Raw genomic sequence first — 25,959 nt, 5'->3', positions numbered from 1 at the left:
CCCAGTGTGGTGGCGGGCGCCTGTAGTCCCAGCTACTCAGAAGGCTGAGGCAGGAGAATGGCGTTAAGCCGGGAGGTGGAGCTTGCAGTGTTGCAGTGAGCTGAGATCACACCACTGCATTCCAGCCTGGGCGACAGGGCAAGACTCCATCTCAAAAAAAAAAAAAAAAAAAAAAAAAAAAAAAAAAAAGCTTTATATCAAAAAGGTACAGTTAAGGAACTTAATTTGTAAAAATCAAGCCAATAAAGACTTTTAAAGAGAGATATATAGCTGGAGATCTAGTTCTCTTATCATCATAGCAAATTAATGGTTTACAAACACTTGTAGACATACCTGGCAGAGCAGTTATGAAATCTCTCTGCAACATAGGTTTAAGATACGAGTTTATGTGCCCATGTTGGTAATGACACATTTGGGATATAAGATGTTCCACAAATTCCACTTGATCTGACTCTGACCACTGCTCAAAGTATTTGACACACAGTTCCTTTTCCTTTTCATAGCTTGCTGAGAGTTTCCGTTGCTTGGGCACAATCATACTGGAAGTGCCATTGGCAAGTTTTGTCTGTAGAAGGGGGTTAAAAGAAACATAAAATGATTAGTATTGAAAATGAGGGAAATATATATGATTTTCTGGTATGGCATGCTATATTATGTCTACATGATTGAGCCCACTCTGTTATTCTATTAGCAATTACGTGGAAAACCACAGAAATACCATAGAAAGTTGGTAAATCAGCTATAATACTAGAAGACTAAGCATCCATTTCCAAAAGTTTGCAGAAGACATTCTTAATATTTGAAGATACACAAATAAAAACCAAAAGCTGAAAGCATGTTATTACTAGCAAGCCAAAAATCTAATTTGCTTTTTCTTGTATACAACAGTTGTTGGACATTTATACAATTACTTGCTCACAACTTTTTTTTGAGACAAGGTCTCACTCTGTCACCCAGGCTGGAGTGCAGTGGTGAGATCATAGCTCACTGCAGCCTCCAGCTCCTGGGCTCAAGCGATCCTCCCACCTTAGCCTCCAGAGTAGCTGGGACTATATAGGTACACACTATCATGTCCTGCTAATTTTTAACATTTTTTTTTGTAGAGATGGAGTCTTCTTTTGTTGCCCAGGCTGGTCTCAAACTCCTGGCTTCAAGCAATTTTCCTGCCTTGGCTTTCCAAAGTGCTGGGATTAACAGGTGTGAGCTATTGTGCTCCGTCATCACAACTTTTTTTTTGTTTTTGGAGACAGTCTTGCTCTGTCGCCCAGGCTGGAGTGCACTGGCATGATCTTGGCTCACTGCAACTTCCACCTCCCAGGCGGAGAATCAAGCGATTCTCCTGCCTCAGCCTCCCAAGTATTGGGACTACAGGTGCCCACCACCACGCCTGGCTAAGTTTTATATTTTTAGTAGAGACAGGGTTTCATCATGTTGGACAGGCTGGTCTTGAACTCCTGACATCAAATGATCTGCCCACTTCAGCCTCCCAAAGTACTGGGATTACAGGCATGAGCCACCGTGCCCGGCCAACAACTTGGTTTTTAATTGTCAAATAAGAAGTTCCTCATGAAAAGAAACCAATGAATATTCTGAGACTCTGTGGTACCTTTTTGGACATAAAGCTAAAATAACACTCATATGCTCAATTTACCTTTTTCCATAACATAAAATATTCCGTATTTCCCATGAAGTCTTTTTTATTAATTGATTCATTCAATAAGTATTTACTGAACCTCTATAATGTGCCAAACACTGTCCTTGGTACTAGGAATATAACAGTGAACAAAAATGACAGTCTCTAACATCACTAACATATACTCTTAGTGTGAAAGGCACATTAAAAACAGAAGCAGCCAGGTGCAGTAGCTTATACCTGTAATCCCAGCATTTTGGGAGGCAAAGGTGAGGAGAACACACCTGTAATCCCAGCTACTCAGGAGGCTGAGGCAGGAGAATCGCTTGAACCCAGGAGGCAGAGGTTGCAGTGAGCTGAGATTGCACCACTTCCCTCCAGCCTGGGCAACAGGGCGAGACTCTGTCCCCCCAAACAAACAAACAAACAAACAAAATACAAGCAAATACTTAGAAAATATAATGTAGGTAGTGCTATGAAGAAAAAGCAGGATAAGGGGACAGGAAAAAAGTATGTTATTGTGGTAGGCAAAATTCTAAGATGGTCCCCAAGATTCTTTTTTGTTTGTTTGTTTTGAGACAGAGTTTCAGTCTTGTTGCCCACACTGGAGTGCAATAGCGTGATCTCGGCTCACTGCAACCTCTGCCTCCCGGGTTCAAGTGATTCTCCTGCTTCAGCCTCCTGAGTAGCTGGGATTACAGGTGCACAACCCCATGCCCAGCTAATTCTGTATTTTTAGTAAAGACGGGGTTTCTCCATGTTGGTCAGGCTGTTCTCGAACTCCCAACCTCAGGTGAGCTGCCCGCCTTGGCCTCCCAAAGTGCTGGGATCACAGGCGTGAGCCACTGCACCTGGCTGGTCCCCAAGACTCTTGGCCCCTGGTGTACACATACCTTCTCTGAGTTATTCAAACAGTAATGTAGGTATTGCTGTCATTAAAAGAGGGATCCAAATCAGCTGACCTTAAGATAAGGAGATTACTCAGGTGGATCTGACCTAATCGTATGAGGCTTTACAAGCACAGAGTTTGCTTCAACGGGTTACAGAAGAGGAAGGGGGACAGCTGGCAAGGAATGTGGTCAGTCTCTAGCTGCTGAAAGGAGCCCCCAGCTGACAGCCAGTAAGAAAATGGGGGCCTCAGTCCTACAACAGCAAGGAACTGAATTCTGCCTACTACAAGAATGAGCTGAGGGCCGGGTGTGGTGGCTCATGTCTGTAATCCCAGCACTTTGGGAGGATGAGGTGGGTGGATCACCTAAGGTCAGGAGTTTGACAACAGCCTGGCCAACATCGTGAAACCCTATCTCTACTAAAAATACAAAAAATTAGCCAGGTGTGGTGGCGGGTGCCTGTAATCCCAGCTACTTGGGAGGCTGAGGCAGGAGAATCACTTGAACCCAGGAGGTGGAGATTGCAGTGAGGAGAGATCACGCCATTGCACTCCAGCCTGGGCAACGAGAGCGAAACTCCATCTCAAAAAAAAAAAAAAAAAAAAAGCTGAGAAGAGGATTTTCCCTCTGAGCTTCCAGATGAGAACTCAGTCCAGCCCAACACCTTGATTGATTTAAGCCTTGAGATGCTCTCAGCAGAGAACCCAGCCACTATGTGCCACACTTCTGACCCTCAGAACTACACACAGAATTAATAAATACGTATTGTTTTAACTTGCTAAGTTTGTGGTGATTAGGCAGCAATTAACAAAAAACTAATAGGATTATTTAAGTGGTTAGAGATCATTTCCTGAAAAAGGTGACATTTTAACTCAGACATGAAGGAAATGAGGACTAGACAGCGAGGAAGAATGGTCTAGGCAATGGAAATTTTGAGACCCTAGGTCCTGGGTGGCAGTCGGCCTGGGATGTTCAAGGAACAAGAGGGCCTGGTGTGGCTGGAACAGAGTGAGCAAGGAAAAGTTAAGGCTGGAGAAGTAGCCAGGGTCAAATCATCCTGGTCATTCCGGTGGTGGTAACTAATCTCCACAGATTGGCCCCAGCAACTCCAGCCCTCCCTCTACATGAATGCTACTCCTCCCATCAAAAGGCGGAGATTATGTCCTATTCTGTGAATCTGGGCTTTGACTAAGAGAATGGGGAGAAAGTTGCATTCCATTCTGGGACTTCTAAGCCCAGGCAACTTCTGCTTACTCCTTAGAGCGCTGAGCTACCATGTAAGAAACTCAGGCTAATCTGAGAAAGAGACAGGTATGGAGGATGAGAAGCCATACAGAGGGGCCACATGGGCAAACACCCAGAAGCATAATAGCGACACAATCTGACACCGTTTAAAAGGACCACTGCTATGTGGTCCTTTAAAACTATATGGGACATAAATAGAAGGAGGCCAATTAAGACACTACTTCGGCCGGGCGCGGTGGCTCACGCCTGTAATCCCAGCACTTTGGGAGGCCGAGGCGGGCGGATCACGAGGTCAGGAGATCGAGACCATCCCGGCTAAAACGGTGAAACCCCGTCTCTACTAAAAATACAAAAAATTAGCCGGGCGTAGTGGCGGGCGCCTGTAGTCCCAGCTACTTGGGAGGCTGAGGCAGGAGAATGGCGTGAACCCGGGAGGCGGAGCTTGCAGTGAGCCGAGATCCCGCCACTGCACTCCAGCCTGGGCGACAGAGCGAGACTCCGTCTCAAAAAAAAAAAAAAAAAAAAAGACACTACTTCAACAGTCCATGGAAGACAGAACAATCTCTTGGACCACAGTGGTAGCTATGGAGGTGGTGAGAAATAATTGGGATTCAGTGTATATTCTGAAGACAGATCCTACTGAATTTGCTGATCGACTGGATATGAGTATGAGAAAAAAGGAGACAAAATCACACCCAAGTTTGAAGCTGGGGGACACTGGGAAAAGATTCAGAAATCAATAGAAACTTTTGCTACTCTGAAGAAAGTATTTCTTTAAAGGATAATCACAAATGGGTACAACTGGGTACTTTTCAAAGTAATTTGATGGATCTTTGGCATATTTACTTAAGGCAACCCAAATGTGGCAGAAAGACCCATGTTACCATAGAGTTCATCCCTGCTCAGACATACTCAATGTGGAACATGCTATAAAACTGTACCACATTTAGATAATTCATTTCAAGGCTCAGGCTTGCCTTATTTTCTTTTATTTATTTACTTTTATTTTTAGAAACAGGGTCTTGTTCTGTCACTCAGGCTAGAGTGCAGTGGTGTGATCATAGCTCACTGCAGCCCTGAACTCTTGAGGCTTGCTTATTTTCTAGATGTTAAATCCTATACACAGGGCTCTTTACAAAGTAAAGATACACAGCTGAAAGCATATTTTCAAGAATGGCATTAGGCCATTTTATATACACAGAAGGAGCTGACACCTGTAATCCTGGTGTGTTGAGGTGGATGTTTTCTAGCATAAATGCCACTGTTGCCTATGATACAGACTAAAAATGATTACTAAGAACCTTGTTGGACACAGGCCTTGGGGGAGTTTAGGGCTGCTTTTTGTGTAAGTTATTAGTTTGTATCTCAGAAATGAAAACTCATGAAATGTGAAGATTTAGAGAACTAACACACAGGCAGGCTTATAAGCTTGACTAAATGCCACTTCTAATCCCAATAATGAAAACCTCCCAAACTCTATCATTTTTTATATATTTGCCTTTTAAAATGCACCCTTTGTCTTTTAAAAGGTGGAAATGGACATGAGTTGGGTGCTACTGGAGTACTGTTTTCTGGATAAAGACCAGAATGCCAGTAACAGAGAAGAACAATCAGCAGCTTAATGAAATTATTCCACTTATACATTAAATAAACGAGATATTGCTATAATCATAAGGAGTCATGCTTTGATCAGTGGCTATCAGACTGTTAGGTAAAACTGCCTAAGGATTTAAAAAGTCTGGGTATCCTACTGCAGAAGCTAAAGATAAGACTTTGTGATACTTTCAATGATCAAGTCATAAGTGGGAATTACACATTTGGTTATTAGACATAAAGTATAAACTGAGATTTCACGTATTTATCAACTGTTCTGGGCTATTCTAGCTGGTATACATTTTAGTCACCACCCCTCAAAACGAGTATTTTTTTGATGAGGCAGAAAGACACATACCTGAGATCCATTAACAAATGGGTTACTCTCAACCACTACCCCATACTGTATTGTTTTAAAAGCTTTGGCCCTGGAGTAAAAAGACCTGGTTTCAAATTCTAGCTCTTCAATTTAGCAGCTGTGTGACATGGAATAAATAACTTGATCCTTCTGAGTCTAATTCTCTCATCTATAAAACTGGGAAAATAATATAATAGGTTCTATTTCATTGGGTTTTTGTAAGGAACAAATTAAAAAACCCTCATGAAAAGCATGCTTAGCACACCACCTAGCATACAGTCAAGTGTTCCGTCAATCAACACTCTTAATGAGCTTATAACACTGTTGGAGCTGAGCCTTCCCTCTCTTTTTGAAAGTACATTCTTCTTTTTCACTATATATTTTTTCTATTTTAATTTTCATTAAAGTATAACATAAATAGAAATGCTTAATCTTAAATGTACTCAACTAATTTTCACAAGGTGAACATACTCACATAACCAACACCCAGATCAAGAAACAGATCATCACGAGACTCACTAGCCCCCTTTGTGTCCCTTTTCAGGTCACTAGTCACCCTGAGAGTGACTCCTACACCTATTAAAAAAGAATACATTTTTTGAAAACCATCCACCTATACAATTTGTAGTACCATAAAAACATAAAATTCTCAGAAATAAATTTGATAAAGTTTAGCCTGGGAGCAGTGGCTCACGCCTATAATCCAAGCACTTTGGGAGGCAGAGATGGGCGGATCACGAGGTCAGGAGATCAAGACCATCCTGGCTAACAAGGTGAAACCTCGTCTCTACTAAAAGTACAAAAAATTAGCCGGGCGTGGTGGTACATGCCTGTAGCCCTAGCTACTCTGGAGGCTGAGGCAGGAGAATCACTTGAACCCGGGAGGTGGAGATTGCAGTGAGCTGAGATCACGCCACTGCACTCTAGCCTGGGATACAGAGCTAGACTCCATCTCAAAAAAAAAAAAAATGGATAAAATTTGTGTAATACTTATAAATTGAAAACTATAAAACATTGCTGAGGGAAATTTTAAAAAGACTTAAATAAATGGAGAGATACACTGTATTCAGAAATTGGATCTATTAAGATGTTTATTCTTTCCAAATCAACCTATAGAGTTAGTGCAATATCAAAGTCTCAGCAGGCAAATTAACTCGCTGATTCTAAAATTTGTAAAGAAAAGCAAAGGACCTAAACTTAACCAAAATATTCCTGAAAATAAAAAAAACGGTTAGGTGTGGTGGCTCACACCTGTAATCCCAGCACTTTGGGAGTCTGAGGTGAGTGGATCACTTGAAGTCAGGAGTTTGAGACCAGCCTGGCTGACAGGGTAAAACCCTGTCTCTACTAAAAATACAAAAATTTGCCGGGTGTGGTGGTGCATGCCTGTAATCCCAGCTACCCTGAAGGCTGAGGCAGGAGCATTGCTTGAACCCGGGAGGTGGAGGCTGCAGTGAGCCGAGATCGTGCCACTGCACTCCAGCCTGGATTACAGAGTAAAACTGTCTCAAACAAAACAAAACAAAACAAACAAAACCCTAAAAAACCACAAAACCCTTTGAAAAAAGATGGAAGACTCAGACTAGTAAATTTCAAGATATGTAATAGTAATCAAGATAGTGTGGCTTTGGTGTAAGGACACAAGTGTAGATCAATGGAAAGGAATAGTGAGTCCAGAAATACATACAGCCAACTGACTTTCAAGAAAGATGCCAAGATAATTCAATGGGGAGGCCAGGCACGGTGGCTCATGCCTGTAATCCCAGCACTTTGGGAGGCTGAGGCAGGCAGATCACCTGAGGTCAGGAAATCGAGACCAGCCTGGCCAACATGGTGAAACCCCATCTCTACTAAAAATACAAAAATTAGCTGGACATCATGGCACACGCCTATAATCCTAGCTACTAGGGCAGCTGAGACACAAGAATCACTTGAACCTGGGAGGTGGAGGTTATAGTGAGCCTAGATTGTGCTACTGCACTCTAGATTGGGTGACAGAGCTTTCTCAAAAAAAAAAAAAATTAAATAGGGAAAGGATTGTCTTTCAACAATTGGATATCCATAGAGGAAATGAAGTCTGTTCCTAACTTCACATCATATACAAAAATTAACTTAATTCTAGATTTATATATAGGAGCTAAAACTATAAAACTTCTAAAAGAAAACACAGGAGAAAACCTTGACGTTCTTGGAATAGGCAAACATTATAAAAGGAAAAAAAAGTCAGTAAATTGGCATGTTCAAAACATGATTTCCAAAAATGATTTGTCATTTTTATTAACATTTGCAATAAATGTATTTCACAAAGGACTTGTATCCAGCATCTATAAAGAACTCTTAGAACTCAATAATAATTTTTAAAAAATCCTGTTTTATTAAATAGGCAAAAGATTTGAACAGATACTTCACAAAAAAAGATCCACAGATGCCAATAAGCATATGAAAAGATGTTCAACATTATTAGTCATTAGGGAAATGCAAATTAAAATATCAAGACATTATGACACACTTATTAGAATGGCTAAAATTTAAAAGACTGACAATACTAAGTGTGGACAAGAATGAGGAACAACTGGGTCTCTCACACATTGTTGGCAGTCACGTTTAATGGTACAACTACTTTGGAAAACAAGTTGACAGTTTTTTGTAAAGTTAAACATATACTTACCAAACAACCCAGCAATTCCACTTTAGGTACTTACCTCCTTAAAACGAAACACAGTTCAACACAAAGACTGGTACTTTAATGTTTTTTGCTTCCATATTAATAAAAATCCAAAATGGTAATAATCCAAATGTCCATCAAAAGATTAACTGGTAAACAAACTGTGATGCTGCTGTAGAATGGAATAGTACTCAGCAACAAAAAGAATAAACCACAGACACACAAAATGGTAAAGATGAACCTCAAAAACATGCTGAATCAAAGAAGCCAGGTACAAATGAGTCCATTATGATTCTACTCGTATGAAACTCTAGGAACAGTAATTCTAATTGTTAGAAAAACAGATCAGTGGTTGCCTGAGGCTGGATGTAGAGATGGGACTGACTGGGGAAGGGTACAAGGGATGTTTTTGGGACAATGAAAATGTTCTCTAACTTGATTGTTACGCCAGTTGCCAACATTCATTGAACTATATACTTAAAATGGGTGTATTTTATTGTATGTAAATTATATTTTAATAAAGTTATTTTAAAAAAACTTCTAAGAGTACAGTATTCCTACTGATAAATCCACTGTAATATGAATTTTATTTGTAACTAAGGTATTATGTTTGTAGAGAAATCTAAAGGTCTTTGTTGTCATGCCCCTTTCTTCTACCATTCTCCAATACAGATTTTTCTACAATTATCTAAAGTAAATTCAGCAAAATTCCAATTTGAGAACTTCTGAAAATCTACAAGGACACAATGAAAAAGTTCAATTATTAAAAAATCAAAAGGTTGTATATTAGAGTGTATGAGAGATATAATGGTTACTGGTTGCAGTAGAATTGATTTGGCTTTCCCAACAAAAGCCTGATGACTCAACCACTACTGTTCAAGTGTCTTGGAAAGCTGACAAACAGCCTCAGCTTAATGGTAACACTAAATTTCTGCCACCCCTGCACATCTCCCTCTTCTTTTTTGTTTATAGTGAACAGTTGTCTCCACAAGAAAGAAAGAAGCTGTCAGGTGACAAGCACACAAAATGAAAGGAGTTAAGTATTTCTGGAACTGTCCTTCAGCTTAGTTCTCAAAGGCTAGGGACTAGTTTCCTCTCCGAAAACATATTTCACGTACCACTTTCAAAATTACCATGAATTTCTCTGAAGCTGCAGCCTGGGCCAGGAGGGAAAAATAGACACTTGCAGACACCAACTGGCTTGATCATCAACTATCATTGTAATACTAAGTATGCTGACTTTACTAACTGTATTATGTATAGGTTGGGAAATACATAGTGGACTGACTGAACTTTATGGTGAAATGACAAGTATTTCTAGTTTGCATCCAAATCTGCTTTAACCAAAAGGAAGGGTATAGTAAGTAGAGAAAGACATTCCAGACATAGGACACTCTTTAGTACTGGGGTTGCAAGGACTAGATGAACAAAGTATTTATGACAAGAAAGATGCAAATGATAAAAGATATCTAAGGATTCCATTTGGCTTTGAGAAAGGCTTTAAGGAAAGGCTCTGGCATTGAGAACTATGGGGGGAAAGGGGATATAATGATTAAATGCTGAATTAATTTAAGAATAAAATAGGCAAGGGTTTTGCAGGGGATAAGGCTGTAGCCTAGGAGGGGCAGGACAACAATTTTGACTAAACCTGGAACTTTAGTGGTATCAATCAACCAACAACAGTTTATTGAGTGACTACTCTATGCTGGGCACTTTACCAGGTAATAGGGAAACTGCTGTGAACAGGCATACAAAGTGTCTTTGCCTTCTCTGAAGAGGAGTGGAGAAAGAACATATATAAATATGTTAATTTCACAAACCAGTAAGGATTGTGAAGAAAACAAAGAAAGATAAAATAAGGAGTAAAGGCAGGCATGGTAGCAGCTCATGCCTGTAATCCCAGCACTTTGGGAGGCTGAGGCGGACAGATCACTTGAGGTTAGGAGTTCGAGACCAGCCTGGTCAACATAGTGAAACTTCGTCTCTATTAATACAGCCAGCACGGTGGCTCACGCCTGTAATCCCAGCACTTTGGAAGGCCAAGGTGGGTGGATCACTTGAGGTCAGGAGTTCAAGGCCAGCCTGGCCAGGCATACATAGCGAAATCCTGTCTCTATTAAAAATACAAAAATTAGCTGGGCTTGATGGTGTGTGAACCCTCGCTTGAACCCGGGAGGCAGAGGTTACAGTGACCTGAGATTGCCCACTGCACTCCAGTCTGGGCAACAGAGTGAGACTCTGTCGCAAAACAAAACAAAACAAAACAAAACAAAAAACCCAAAATACAAAAATTAGCTGGGCATGGTGGTGCGCACATGTGGTTCCAGCTACTTGGGAGTCTGAGGCACGAGAACTGCTTGAACGCCTGGGCAACAGAGTGAGATCATGTTTAAAAAGAAAAGAAAAAGAAAAGAAGTAAAGAGTGCAGCCTACTTTAACTGGAGTGGTCAAGAAATGCCTCTAAAGGAAGTGACACCTGAGCTGAGATTTGAATGACATGTCAGTCTTGTGAAGATCTTGGGGAAGATCCTTCTAGATAGAAGGAAGAGCTAGTGCAATGGTATGTTCAAGTGAAAGACAGAAGGCCAATGTGGCTGGGCAGAATGAATAAGAAAATGGTGGGAATTAAGGAAAAATGGTGGGAATTAAGGTGGCTGGGGCTAAGATCACATAAGGCCTTCTAGGCCATCCTACAGAGTTTAGATTTCATCTGAAGTGTAAAGGAGAGCCCCTGGAGGTTTTGAAATAGTCACATATGGCATTGTCTGATTTGTGCCTTACAAATATTTATACTAGCTGCCACACAGAGAATGGAGCAGGGGCTGGAAAGGTGGGGAGGGGATAATAAGAGCAAGTTGCAAAAGCAGAGGAAGAAAGATCAATTAGAAGGCTGATAAAATAATCCAGGCAAAATGTGACTATGGCTAGGATTAGATTAGGCAGATTAGGAAATGTTTAAAAGAAAGGTATTTTAACTCTCATGACAGAGGATGAAGGAGGAGAAACCAAAGGAGGAGAAATCCCCTGTTGAGAATTGTAAGTCTGGGTCATAATATACATTTATTTTAGTATAATACTTTACTACCTCATTAAGGCTGATCCTTTAGATATTTAGTCTGGTACATTAATCTGGATGGGGATACAACAGTGTTCTTGCTCCTGCGGCCAGGAGAAACAAGGCAAAACTTACAAGGATTTTGAGGGGGAAAGGAAGAGATTTTTTAAAAGTCTATATTATACTCTCTAGAGGCTGTTGTCAGGTTTTAATTAAATAAACATCTAACAACGACTTTTTTTTTTGTTTTTTTTTAAGATGGAGTCTCAATCTGTCGCTCAGGTTGGAGTGCAGTGGCGCGATCTCGGCTCACTGCAAGCTCCAACTCCTGGGTTCACGCCATTCTCCTGCCTCAGCCTCCGGAGTAGCTGGGACTACAGGCACCCACCACCACGCTCGGCTAAATTTTTTTGTATTTTTAGTAGAGACGGGGTTTCACCATGTTAGCCAGGATGGTCTCGATCTCCTGACCTCGTGATCCACCCACCTCTGCCTCCTAAAGTGCTGGGATTACAGGCGTGAGCCACTGCACCCGGCCAAAAATAATGACTTTAAAAGATCTTTTTCCGATTATTTTCCTTTGATTTCTTTGTAAAAGCATCTTTCTTTTTCTTTTCTTTTTTTCTTTTTTTGAGACAGAGTCTTGCCTGTCACCTAGGCTGGAGTGCAATGGTGCAATCTCGGCTCACTGCAACCTCCGCCTCCCAGGTAGCTGGGATTACAGACATGTAACACCACGCGCAGCTAATTTTTGTGTTTTTAGTAGAGACAGGGTTTTACCATGCTGGCCAGGTTGGTCTCAAACTCCTGATCTCGTGATCCACCTGTCTTGGCCTCCCAAAGTGCTTGGATTACAGGCATGAGCCATCGCACCCGGCCAAAAGCATCTTTAAAAAAAAAGCCAGTCAGGCATGGTGGCTCATGCCTGTAATCCCAGAATTTTGGGACGCCAGGGCAGAAGGACTGCTTGAACCCAGGAGTCTGAGACCAGCTTTGGCAGCATAGTGAGACTCCATCTCTACCAAAAAAAAAAAAAAAAAAAAAATTAGCTGTGTGTGGTGGTGCATGCCTGTAGTCTCAGTTACTTGGGAGGCTGAGGTGGGAGGATTACTTGAGCCTGGGAGGTTGAGCCTGCAGTGAGCCGTGGTCATGCCACTGCACTTCAGCCTAAACAACAGAGAGAGACCTTGTCTCAAAAAAAAAAAAAAAAAGGCTGGGCGCGGTGGCTCACGCCTGTAATCCCAGCACTTTGGGAGGCCGAGGCGGGCGGATCACGAGGTCAGGAGATCGAGACCATCCCGGCTAAAACGGTGAAACCCCGTCTCTACTAAAAATACAAAAAATTAGCCGGGCGTAGTGGCGGGCGCCTGTAGTCCCAGCTACTTGGGAGGCTGAGGCAGGAGAATGGCGTGAACCCGGGAGGCGGAGCTTGCAGTGAGCCGAGATCCCGCCACTGCACTCCAGCCTGGGCGACAGAGCGAGACTCTGTCTCAAAAAAAAAAAAAAAAAAAAAAAAAAAAATCCACATTGCCACTGTCATGCTTGAATTGAGAGGAAATAGGATTGTTTACACTTTGATTAGAATGGAAAGAGATAAGTAAGCACACCTAGTGATGAAGATGGTGATAGCAGGGAGACCTAGATTTCTAAAGAGCTAGAATGGAAAAGAAAAGGAACCCCGAAGGGCTAGCGCCCATTGGCACCTGAGCATCCTTTTACAAGGAGATTTCAAGATAAACTGAAAGAATTTAGCTACAAATTGAACATGCAGAAAAAAGGAAATTAATGTTCAAAAGTGGGATAATAACTTTTAACATTCTACTTTTAGTTTTTTTTTTTTTTTTTTTTTTTAAGATGGAGTCTTGCATTGTTGCCCAGACTGGAGTGCAGTGGCACAATCTTGGCTCACTGCAAGCTCCGCCTCCTGGGTTCACGCCATTCTCCTGCCTCAGCCTCCCCAGTAGCTGGGACTACAGGCGCCTGCCACCACACCTGGCTATTTTTTTGTATTTTTAGTAGAGACGGGGTATCACCGTGTTAGCCAGGGTGGTCTTGATCTCCTGACCTCGTGATCTGCCCGCCTCGGCCTCCCAAAGTGCTGGGATTACAGGCGTGAGCCACCACGCCCAGCCTACTTTTAGTTCTTAAACTTTATAACTCTCAGTGATCAAAGGAGTAGTCCATTCCTTTTTTTGGAGTAGGGTGGGAAGTGGGAGTGCAAATGAAAAGAAAATGGTACATATAGAATGGGGCACACATTTCAACAGAAGTAAACATCATATTTCTCAGTGGGATTATTATATTAATATTTTAACAGCCTCTACTAAATATGATTACATATTAGGTGAACTCATAAACATGTCAAATCTGATTAGTGAACATGGAAGACAGGAAGGGGCAGATTTGTCAGTAGAGGGAAAGTTCACATTATGAATCTGAATGATTTCTAATAACCAACAAGAAAAAGCTTGCAGTCATTCCAATTCCTTTAAATAAAGCCCAGTAGGAAATGAACTGACATTGCCCAGTATATATGATTATTTAATGACTGGACACTTGCCAATCTTTTTTTCCTATTTACTAACTATAGGAAAAGTCATATATAAAATTCATCAAATTCAGAACAAAGCAGTTTTTCATTATTTTCTGATTTCTGACATAGTTAAAGGGACAGGATAGTCATTTAACATTTTTAGGTTTCAAAACTGAAACTCAAGCTTCTTTATTGGCCCCCTCATGCAACTTTATAGCTTCCAGGGTGATAGGTTCTTTTGTTCTAAACCAAGAAATTCACAGCAGTTTAATTTACTGTTGCATTATTATAGCTACTAACTACACACACCTCCAAGGCTGGTAAACCCACTGATGTAGATAGTGCCACCTTAAAAGGATTTTTGGATGGGTCCTAGTGGTGAGGGAAAAAAAAAGGACATAATGTTTAATTATAAGAAATGATTGAAATAGGCACAGACATACCCGGGGTGCCTCTGCACTGCAGCAAGCTCTAAACTTGTTATCGTTAATGGTTTAAATTTCACTGTGCTAATCATTTCAGGACACAGCCTTTCTTGATAATCTAATGAATTATTCCAACATCCTTCAGCAAAAAAAAATCTTCCATGACAGCACTAATTACAAGACATTTTCCCAGTGCTTATGTAAAATATGACAGAGCAGCAGCTTAGGGAATTGCAGAAAACTGCTTCTAATTTCCACTGAGAAGCTGACAAACACCTCTCTTTCATCTCTCCCAGCTCTCAAGTAAGATTTAACTTTCTCATTTAGTTAATTACCGAGTGAGGATCATCATTTCCCCGGATCGGAGCGGCACAGAGCCTTTATCGTGTTAACTTGTGAACTTGATCGATGGCTGCTGCTAAAACTTAATAACTTCACCCCCTGGCAAATTGTAAGATAAATATAATAGGAGAAACTCTGACAGTAAAAACCTGCCAGAAATGAGCGCTGTGTTTATGTTTCTTTGCAGGCAGCAAAAAATCAACCGACAGCTTATTACTGGTTGCGTGTTACTTATATTTAAAAGACTCCAGGCAGTTAACTTTCTACGTACTGTTAAAACTTTGCTCACAAGATGGGAAAAAATGGGAAAAAAGCCCCAGTGATACAGACTTGGGGAAGTAAGAGAAGAAAAAACAGGGAGAAGGGCAATGCAAGGAAACAAGTACATTGTATAAAATCTTTTAAAATGTCGTGGTTATCTTATTAAATGTTCAGTCAGCATATATAGGCATAAAATCCTTCAAAAAATAATTCTGGATTCCTAAGACATGGTATGAACTATATCTAGGAGCAAAGCAAGAGAATTTTGCTCACTCAAATTTTTTCAGAGACCCTGAGTCCATGCCTGAAGAATTCAATTAACTGCAGAATTCCTAGATCTCTTTTCAAAAACCCCTGCAGCTAGAAAAGCATTCACTAACTACATAATTTAACCCTTTGTGAAACAATGAGTACACTATAGCTAGGAAATAAGTAAACTTCAGTTGTTTAGAGCACTTCATCTAGCCTTGCCATCCACCTTGCATACCTAGGGTTAGTCAACTGAGATTGAAATAGTCTGCTGAAAGATTTCCTTTCAGTCAATTTTGAATCTGAGCTTGGAATTTTAACATTTAACTATGGCAGAGTTGGCATCTTGGCTTGGTACAGCATGACTGTTACACTTTTTATAACCAACACTACCAAGGACAATAAACAAGGTATATAATAGAACTGCTGCTCATCAATGCCTGTCCTCCCCACCCCCAAGACTGATAACAGGGCTGAAAACAAATCTGTATAAAAATTGCCAAGTCTATCAGACTGAACACTCTAATATTGAAATATTACAAAAAAACATGAGCTAAATTTTGGGAGGACAGAGAAAGGCAGGAAAGGTCTTATAGGACTTAGAGTTGAAGCCTAACTTGAGCAACTGTATTTAACATTCACCATGTGCTACAATAGTGCCAATGAGCTGATGGCTTCATGCTTCAGTTCAAAGGGCCACCCATTTTGAAAGGTAAAAAAATTTGGAAAACTAGCCAGGCGCGAAAACTACAGGTGGCTCACGCCTGTAACCCCAGCACTTTGGGAGGCTGAGGCGGCGGATCACCTGAGGTTGGGAGTTCGAGATCAGCCTGACCAACATGGTGAAACCCCGTCTCTACTAAAAATAGAAAAATTAGCAGTGCATGGTGGCCGGCACCGGTAGTCCCAGCTAATGGGAGGCTGAGGCAGGAGAATTGCTTGAATCCTGGAGGCGGAGGTTGCAGTGAGCTGAGATTGTGCCACTGCACTCCAGCCTGGGCGACACAGCGAGACTCCGTCTCAAAAAAAAAAAAAAATTGGAAAACTGAACATCAAAATAGCAAACCAAATTCATCTTCAAAAAGGATCAAATCTGAGTCATTTTGTTTTCACTTTGATTAAATAAAGATCTATGGGGGGGGTCAAGCAAAGAATGTTTAATTCATTTTCTAAAAATAGCATTTACAGTAGACACATTTTAGTAAATATGAAAAATTCAGATACACAAAAAACATGGAAATTGCCCATAATTTCAACTATCAACAAAGACATAATGTTCACATTTTGGTGGGTATATTTGTTTTTTTATTATTATTTTTTTTTTTTTATTTTTTTGAGACGGAGTCTCGCTCTGTCGCCCAGGTTGGAGTGCAGTGGCACAATCTCTGCTCACTGCAAGCTCCACCTCCTAGGTTCACGCCATTCTCCTGCCTCAGCTTCCTGAGCAGCTGGGACTACAGGCGCCTGCCACCACGCCCGGCTAATTTTTTTGAATTTTTAGTAGAGACGGGGTTTCACCGTGTTAACCAGGATGGTCTTGATCTCCTGACCTCATGATCCGCCCGCCTCGGCCTCCCAGAGTGCTGGGATTACAGGCGTAAGCCACCGCGCCCGGCCATCTTTCTGTTTATTTAAAAATGTATTAGTCAACGGCCAGGCATGGTGGCTCATGCCTGTAATCCCAGCACTTTGGGAGGCTGAGGCAGGCGGATCACTTAAGGTCAAGAGTCTTAGACCAGCCTGGCCAACATGGTGAAACCTCGTGTCTACTAAAAAATATATATATATATATATATACATATACATATATATATACATATATATACACATATATATATATAAATATATACTCAGGTGCAGTGGTGCACGCCTGTAATCCCAGCTACTTGGGAGGCTGAGGCAGGAGGATTGCTTGAACACGGGAGGCAGAAGTTGCAGTGAGCTGAGATTGTACCACTGCACTCCAGCCTGGGTGACAGAGTAAGACTTCATCTCAAAAAGAAAACAAAATTTTTTTAAAATTTATTAGTCAAATATTTGAAGAATATGGGGGAGGGGGAGTGTATCTGTGCCATCTAGAGAATTCTTTGTTCATAATATCAAATTGATCAGAGCAAGCAAAATTAATCTTTGCTGTTAGAGAAGTCAAGATCTGATCCTGGAGGACAGAGAATTATAGGTTATTGTGATGAGGGGAGCTGAAAGGAGGGGAGGAAAGAGGAGAAAAGAAAGAGAGTCAAAGGGAGAGAAAGTGAGGAGAGAAAGAAAAGGGAAATGGAAGGGGGAAAATGGGAAAGCAGAAGGAGGAACGCAAGGAGAGGAAGGGCTAGGGCTAGAGAAGAGGGTAGAAGAGGAAGAGGAATGACAAAAGTGACCGAGGATTGGGGAAAGGACAGTGGATACTAGGCAGTGGGGTTGGTGAGAGATGGGATAAGGATGAAGGAAGAGGGATAAGCAGGTCTAGGGGAAAGATAGGGATGGGGAGAGATGATGAGCTGGGGAAGAGATGGAGGGAGATGGCTACAGGAGAGATGAAGTGAGAAATAGGTGGGAAGGGGGAGAATGAATATAACCAAATGCAAAAGGGACCCAGCATTACCAAGCTCACCTGCTCTAAGAGGAGCAATATGCTTGTTGGACAAACATCCTCTCCCACACAATAAACATCAAGAGGGAGAGGAGATAAAAAACTATTTTTTAAAACCACTACTTAATGTTTCAGGCGGAGTAATAAAGTTTAATTGTCTGGAATCTGGTTGTTCTTTCTGTGTAACTTCCTCAGGTGGAGGTTGTTCACCTAGATGTCAAATTATGTTAAGATTACCAGAATAAAATTTCTGTGATGCTGAAAGTTGAAACTGAGAGTCTTCTGCCCAACTTACCCCCAACACCCTTCTCCCTTCAGTTAGCATCAGAAAATTCAGTTCTAACATTAGCAGGGAATGCATCAGATGTCAGAGCAAAACACAGAGGCACATGTAAAACAGTTAAAAAGTGTATGGGAAAAATACAGTCGGGTTTAAATAAAGAAGGAAAAAACTACCCTGCTCTTCTTTGTGCTCTAATCCTTCAATTTCTGTGTTCTATAAAAAGGCCTCAACAACTTGGTAAAACTTGCTCCTGAAAAAAGCCTTTGAGAAGGCTTTATCTAAAACTGGGATTAGGAAAATACAAAGTTTTTTGGATAGGATCTCAAGAAGCCAACTCAACTTTCTAGAAGAAATTCAACTCTTTTCAAATGCTTGTTAATGCATGTTAAATGCAGCAAGAAATAATTCTATGAGGCAGCAGCACAAGCTTCTCTTAGCTGCAGTGAATGAAGTAAATGACTTGTAATTTCTGGAAGTCTTGGTTATCTTCAGGTAAAACTTTAATAACCCTGGGAACATCAAGGGACTGAAGACATTTCTCTCTGGAATACTTTGGTAATTGTTTTCTTAATTTATCCAGGAAAAGCTTAGTTTAGATGCAGCATCTGTTTTTTCAGCACAGGTGATCAAAATAACTTGCTCAGATTCACACAAGTTAGTAAAGTTCAGATTTCAAAATGCAGTTATTATATAAGCTGAACAGTTTTTCTAAAATGAAATTCTGGTCCTCTTCCTCTTTTCAATGACAATGAAGCTCCAAGTCAATGACTATGACTAAATGTAGAAGACCAGGACTGCTTTGCATAGATGGATAAATGCATTTCTATAACCAAAAGAGGTTTACATATGCACTGAGACTCAAAGTGCCACACTGAAGCAAGCTTAAATGTCTTTCTGAAGGAGTTTATGTAATAGAATATCATTAAAAAATCATAATTTGACACTGATTCTATCCCAGCTCTACTATTTACCTGGAGTGTGATCTTCAGTAAATTAATTAACTTCTCTGGGCTTCAAATTCCTCATCTATAAAATGGTGATAGTTACAATACTTAGCTAGAAGGGCTAATGTTAAGATTAAAATAATACATATAAAGGTATTCAGAAAGAGTACCTGGCACATAGTAAGGGCATAAGTTGTGATGAGTTTTAACTAAAAAGGATTGTAATCTACATAGTTACTTATTATAATTAGCTTAATGCTTCACTATATTTAAATATACTCTTCTTTGCTTTTACAATAATATTATGTCCAGAAACTTTCACTTTAAAATAGATTATCACATAAGTTTTCAGTATCTATATAACAGCAGCTCAAAAATATTTGATAAACTGAACTGTTAATCTAAATGAACGAGGAGGTGGGTATTGCTTTTTGTGAGTACAGTGGTAAAATGTCTTGTGGTGTAAACATATTTGGAGTCCCCTTCTCTCACCAAGAAGGATGCTACTATCACTATATTGATGCTTTGTCCATAGGCACTCAAATTTGGCAATCTAATCCATTTTCTAAGATTGGTATGCAAAAATTTAAGAACCAAAGTAAAACTGAACTCCCAAAAGGAATGAAGACTAACAGTAGGTTAATGTTTCATGAAACTTAATAATTGAAGACAGAAAAGAGCAAAAGGAAGCCCTCAAAGATCTTCTACAATATGGAATAAAAGACATTTGCCATTGATTTTTTTTTTTCATTTTCAATCTTTCAGAGCTATTGCTACAATGTTTTCCCATAACACCCAACTTCAGGGAAGGAAGAACAGTAAGGAAATTATCAGAATGGTAACAAGACTCTCAGTGCATTACTCTAATTTTTAAAATCCACTTGAACAATTTCTACCAAAGAGCTAACATCCTGTAGGGCACAGAGTATATTTTGCTTCCTTCTGATTTGTGGCATTGTTTTAGAATCAGCAAAGACAAGAGCCAGGGCAGAAACCAGACTAAAATTCTGGCTGTTGTCAGCATCCACTTTCCTTTCTCTCAGAAATAGGCAGAAAAACTCTACTACCCTGTAACTTTGGAGGTTATTTATATGTCCCCTACATGGGCACCATTTTTAATGGGGTTTCATAGACCAGAGATTGCAGATTTTTGGTCTTTCTGAGAAAAGACATAGAATTTTGAGGGTCACTAAAAATGGTTTGTTTGTTTGTTTAACCTAGAATGGGACAAACTTCCACCAGGGGTTTTGTGTAGGTGTTTTCTGGGAAGAGGGGTTGTAATAAGAAAATGAAAATCAGGAAGACAGTCACCTCCATAAAATTTATGCATCTGATTTAAAATTAGGACTTGTATCCTTTCTTTGAAGAACTTGGCTTTTCTTAGAGCATGAAATAGTTTCTATAAAGACATTTTCTGGTTTACTACCTAACCTTTTTATTTTACCTGGGAGTGGTTTAAGTTCATATGGAGCACTATAAATACGAGGCTCAAGAGTACTAATAACTCTTTCCCATGGAATTTTTCTATGTATCAAACACTGTAGTTTATTTCTATTTTCCATTTAAGGAATACATACTGAACTTTGATGCTCTGGAAACAAACCATTCATCAAAAAGTTTTCTTATAGTTGACATAAATGTTTTAATGTAGCCTGAAAGCAAAAGTGAGGCAACACGATGCTAAAGAGATTTAGGCCCAGTCTAAATCACTAATTAGCCATACAACCTGGGGGAAGTATCTGCTGGCATGGGAGTTCATGTGTAACATGAGTGAGTGGATGGGATTATCTGAAGCTCAGTCTGGCTCTTAAACTTTGAGTCTATAATCCAGTTCTACTGTAAGTTAAAATAAAATTGCGTACATAAATTTAAAAATAGAGATTCATTCTTCACATGTTCTTACTTAAAACCCATCATATTGGCGTTTAAGCATACACCTCTTTTTTTTTTTTTGAGACGCAGTCTCACTCTGTTGCCCAGGCTGGAGTGCAGTGTACTCCACTCACTGCAACCTCTGCCCCGCAGGTTCAGGCAATTCTGCCTCAGCCTCCTGAGTAGCTGGGACTACAGGCGTGTGCCACCATGCCTGGCTAATTTTTTGTATTTTTAGTGGAGGCGGGGTTTTGCCATGTTGGCCAGGCTGGTCTTGAACTCCTTGACCTCAGGTGATCCACCTGCCTTGGCCTCCCAAAGTGCTGGGATTACAGACTTGAGCCACTGTGCCTGGCCCTCGAATTTTAAAAAACATTTTTCACAATATTATTTGGGCAAGCAAGATATTCTATAACCCCAAGAATAGGTCAAACTTTTCTTAAACAATTGAATTTTTAATGCAAAGAAATGCTATCATTCTGAGTGACAGGTACACAGGTAATATTATTATTCTCTGACTTTTCTACATGCTGACTTTAAAATTAATAATTTAAAATCTTAAAAGCTTTAAGGTTTTAGCCTTCTTCATGGCTGACACTAGGATCTGAAGCCCTAGTAATGCCTTCTTGAAGTTTTCTGTTTCAATATGCCTCATTTCTTTCACATCAACTCTTCTGATAATTACCCCAACTATCCCTCCCCACAGTTTCCAGTATTTAATAAAGGCTTTCAGAAAACTGTCTATACATGAATCTATCTCTTTATTAATAATCCCTTTGCTTCATAAGAAGGCAAAAAGTTATATACACCAACTGGTCTCCATTAGGGCCAAATCAAAGTACAGTCATGCACCATGTGATGATATTTTAGTCAATAACTGCATATACAACTACGGTCCCTAAGATTATAGTATTGTATTCTTACTATACCTTTTCTATGTTTAGAAATGTTTAGATACACAAACACCATCATGTTATGATTGCGTACAGTATTCAGTATGCTGACATGGTGTACAGGTTTGTTGCCTAGGAGTAATAGGTATACCATATAGCCTAGGTGTATAGGAGGCTGTACCATTTAGATTTGCGGAAGTACACTCTATAATGTTTGCAATACAACAAAATTGCCTAATGACACATTTTCATACATATCCCCATCATTAAGCAGTGCACAACCACAGTAGGGCCACAAGAAAAGTCTGCAACTAGATATAAAAAACCCATTGGAATCCTCTCAAAACTTTATTAAGAGCTCATGATCAGATGGCCACTGTTCTTTGCCAGTTGTATTTTCAGCATTATAGTCCATAGCCTGCTGTATTGCAGAGAGCTTTTTCTTTCAGATTCGAAAGTCCATCAAGTGCCCTCAAGACCAAGGTGGCATACTAGCTATTGTAATAACTAAATGAATATGGACAAGCACTGAGGCTTGATTTCCATTTGAAAGAATTAAGTTTCAATGGAAGGTAGAAGCAGAATTTGTAACCTCATCTTTCTGTGGTGATAGCATTTTTTGATAGTGAGCAATCTCGTAGGCCTACATAGTAAGGATGGAAGAGTGGGCTGATATCAGAATAGACATGAACTAGGAGAGCAGCAGTGAGAATGGGGGTTAGGGGTGTGACAAAGACAGAATCAAGACATTTTGGAGGGTATATTCTTAAATATAATATGAAGGACCCAGGGCTTTATTTATGGAGGTGGTAAGATACATAATTATTTAAAAGGTAGTACTGCATAGTGGCCAAGCATGGTGGCTCATACCTGTAATCCTAGCACTTTGGGAGGCCGAGGTGGGCAGATCACTTTGAGGCCAGGAGTTTGACAGCAGCCTGGGCAACATGGTGAAACCCCACCTCTACTAAAAATACAAAAAAATTTAGCTGGGCATGGTGGTGCATGCCTATAATCCCGGCTACTCACGAGAATTGCTTGAGCCCAGAAGGCGGAGGTTGCAGTGAGCCCAGATCGCACCACTGCACTCCAGCCCGACAGAACGAGACTCCTGTCTCAAAAAAAAGGTAGTACTGCATAGTGTCAGACAAGCCCAGGTACAGGCCAAGTGTCTGCCATGTACAAGCTATATAGACCTGAACAAGTTAGTTGCCTTCTTTAAGCTTCACTTTTTCCCCCTGTAAACAAAACTAATACCACCTACTTCCTACAATTGTCATATGAAATAACAGATTATGTATATGAAATACTTGGAACAGGATCTAGCATGTACATGGTTACTAAAGGTGGCTATTATTATTATTTTTTTCTGTTTTTTTTTTGAGACAGAGTCTCGCTCTTGTTGCCCAGGCTGGAGTGCAATGGCATGATCTCAGCTCACTGCAACCTCCGCCTCCTGGGTTTAAGTGATTCTCCTGCCTCAGCCTCCTGAGTAGCTGGGATTACAGGCGCGCACCACTACACCCAGCTACTTTTTTTGTATTTTTAGTAGAGACGGGGTTTCACCATGTTGGTCAGGCTGGTCTCGAACTCCTGACCTTCGGTCATCTGCCTGCCTTGGCTTCCCAAAGTGCTGGGAATACAGGCGTGAACCACCACGGCTGGCCTGCTATTATTATTTTCTAGCACCAAGAAACCATCTCAACAATTCAGGCTGTATTAGGACGTGCCCACTAAACTTTAAAACTGTAGTTTTAATAGAAACTTAATGCCAAATTCCCCAGGAGGGGAATTATGACTAAAATACTTTAAAAATGTGCTAACCTGTGTGGCCACCATTAGCTTATGGGACTGAGGATAGAATTGTGAAGAAAAGAAAAAAGAGTTATGATGTGATTTAGATCGTAACAGCAGCTTCGGAGGCCGGGTGTGGTGGCTCACACCTGTAATCACAGCACTTTGGGAGGCCAAGGGGGGCAGATCACCTGAGTTCAGGAGTTCGAGACCAGCCTGGCCAAAATAGTGAAACCCCCATCTCTACTAAAAATACAAAAATTAGCTGTGCGTGGTGGCACATGTCTGTGGTCCCAGCTACTAGGGAGGCTGAGGCAGGGGAATTGCTTGAATCCAGGAAGCAGAGGTTGCAGTGAGCTGAGATCACGCCACCGCACTCCAGCCTGGGCGACAGGATGAGACTCCATCTCAAAAAAAGCAGCTTAAGAAAGCCAGGTTAAAAGGCTCTGGGCAAAATCAGAAGAAACTACAACTTAGGGAATTTTTGTGTGTATATGTCACACAAAATCACTCTCTCTGTATATGTCAATATATATCTCAACTTTAATTAATTAATTAATTAAGAGACGGAGTCTCGCTCTGTCACCAGGCTGGAGTGCAGTGGAACGATCACGGCTCACTGCAGGCTCTGCCTCCCAGGTTCAAGCAATTCTCCTGCCTCAGCCTCCTGAGTAGCTTGGACTACAGGCACGTGCCACCATGCCCAGTTAATTTTTGTGTTTTTCGTAGAGATGGGGTTTCACCATGTTGGCCAAGATGTTCTTGATCTCTTGACCTTGTGACATGCCCGCGTTGGCCTCCCAAAGTGCTGGGATTACAGGCATGAGTCATCACGCCCAGCCAACTTCGTTTATTTATTATGGGTTGATTGACTGATAGACAGGGTCTCACTCTATCACCCAGCCTGGAGTGCAGTGGCATGATCACGGTTCACTGCAGCCTCAACCTCCCAAGCTCAAGTGATCTTCTCACCTCAGCCTCCTGAATAGCTGGGACTACAGGTGCGCACCACCATGCCTGGATAAATTTTTTTTATATTTTTTATTTGTAGAGACAGGGGTCTCACTTTGTTGACCAGGCTGGTCTCAAACTCCTAGGCTCAATCCTTCCACCTGGGCATTCCAAAGTGCCAGGATTACAGGCATAAACTACCATGCCCAGCTTTAATATATTCATATTTAAACAAATATATGAAGACTGTTCCACGTTCAAGTGCTGTAGTACACAAGGCGTGGATCACACAGCTGGTAAATATTGGCGATTCTAAAATTTATATGGAAATGAAAATAACCAAGAATAACCAAGATAATCTTGAAGAGTAACAACAAAGCTAGGGCACTTACTATCAGAGTTCAAGATTTTGATAAAGACCTATAAGCATATGGTCAAAGAAAACAATCCGGTATAATGGGAACTACACATTTCAATAAATGGTGCTAGGTCAACTGGGTATCACACTGGAAAACAAAGAATTCTCACCTCTACCACGCATCATATACAAAAATCAAACGAATTAAACATGAAATGTAAAACCATAAAAACTAGATAAAACAATGTCTTTAAGACATTGGGACAGGCAGATTTCTTAAGTAGAATGTAAAAACACTAATTGTATAAGGCAAAGATCCATAAATTGGACTCTTAAATTAAGAACCTCTGTTCATCACAGACATCATTTAAAAAGTGAAAAGGCAAGTCACAGTTTAGGAGAAATATATGCAATACATACATCAGACAAATAACCTGTATCCAGAATTTATAAAGAACTCTTATAAATCTTTAAGAAAAATACATAAAACCCAATTAAAAAAAGGGCAAATGCGTTGAACAAGAACTTCACATCCAAATGGCCAATCAACATAAAAAAAATGCTCAATTTTAATAGTGTTCAGAGAAATGTGAATGAAAAACAATGTGACAACAATGTGAATACACTTAAAGCTAATAAACTGTATACTTAAAAATAGTAAGATGGTAAATTTTATATTATTATTATTTTTTAAATTGCAATTTTAAAAAAAGTCAGTAATTCCAGCACTTTGGGAGGCTGAGGCAAGAGGACTGCCTGAGGCCAGGAGCTCGAGGTTACAGTGAGCTATGATTGCGCTGATGCACTCCAGACTGGGTGACAGAGTGAAGCCATGCCTCTAAAATAAAAACTTAAAACAAAATCCAAAATGTCATACATAATACTACTACGTATCACCAGAATGCTACAATGAAAAAGGTAGACAACACCAAGTGTTGGTTGGTGAGAAAAAGGAATGATGGAACTTTTATTCACTGCTGTATAAAAATTGGTGCTAGTTTGGAAATTCCAATTCCTCTGCTGGTTAA

General features: G+C 40.5%; 1 protein-coding gene across 15 annotated transcripts in view, besides 1 other annotated feature; it reads right to left on the bottom strand.

Annotated features, from left to right (window-relative positions):
* Positions 1–25,959, bottom strand: part of BTRC (beta-transducin repeat containing E3 ubiquitin protein ligase) — a 203,266-nt gene that overhangs the window by 35,110 nt on the left and 142,197 nt on the right. For 14 of the 15 annotated variants that reach the window (XM_047425986.1, XM_006718054.3, XM_017016870.2 and 11 more), the window contains one exon: positions 334–565. In XM_047425986.1, coding sequence (XP_047281942.1) covers positions 334–565 — 232 coding nt within the window. Of the gene's footprint in view, positions 1–333; positions 566–6,194; positions 6,402–25,959 lie in introns of those variants that run through there. The other variant, XM_011540320.3, reaches the window with a different exon arrangement.
* Positions 13,989–15,312: an enhancer, noted in NCBI's record as "VISTA enhancer hs326". NCBI's record gives its function as "enhancer in: limb[4/7]" and the evidence as "EXISTENCE:transgenic organism evidence [ECO:0001131][PMID:17130149]".

Source organism: Homo sapiens, chromosome 10, assembly GCF_000001405.40.
Source record: "Homo sapiens chromosome 10, GRCh38.p14 Primary Assembly".
Classification (NCBI taxonomy): Eukaryota; Metazoa; Chordata; class Mammalia; order Primates; family Hominidae; genus Homo; species Homo sapiens.
The sequence above is the reverse complement of the archived record's forward strand: the minus strand, read 5'-3'. Positions and strand labels throughout refer to the sequence as shown.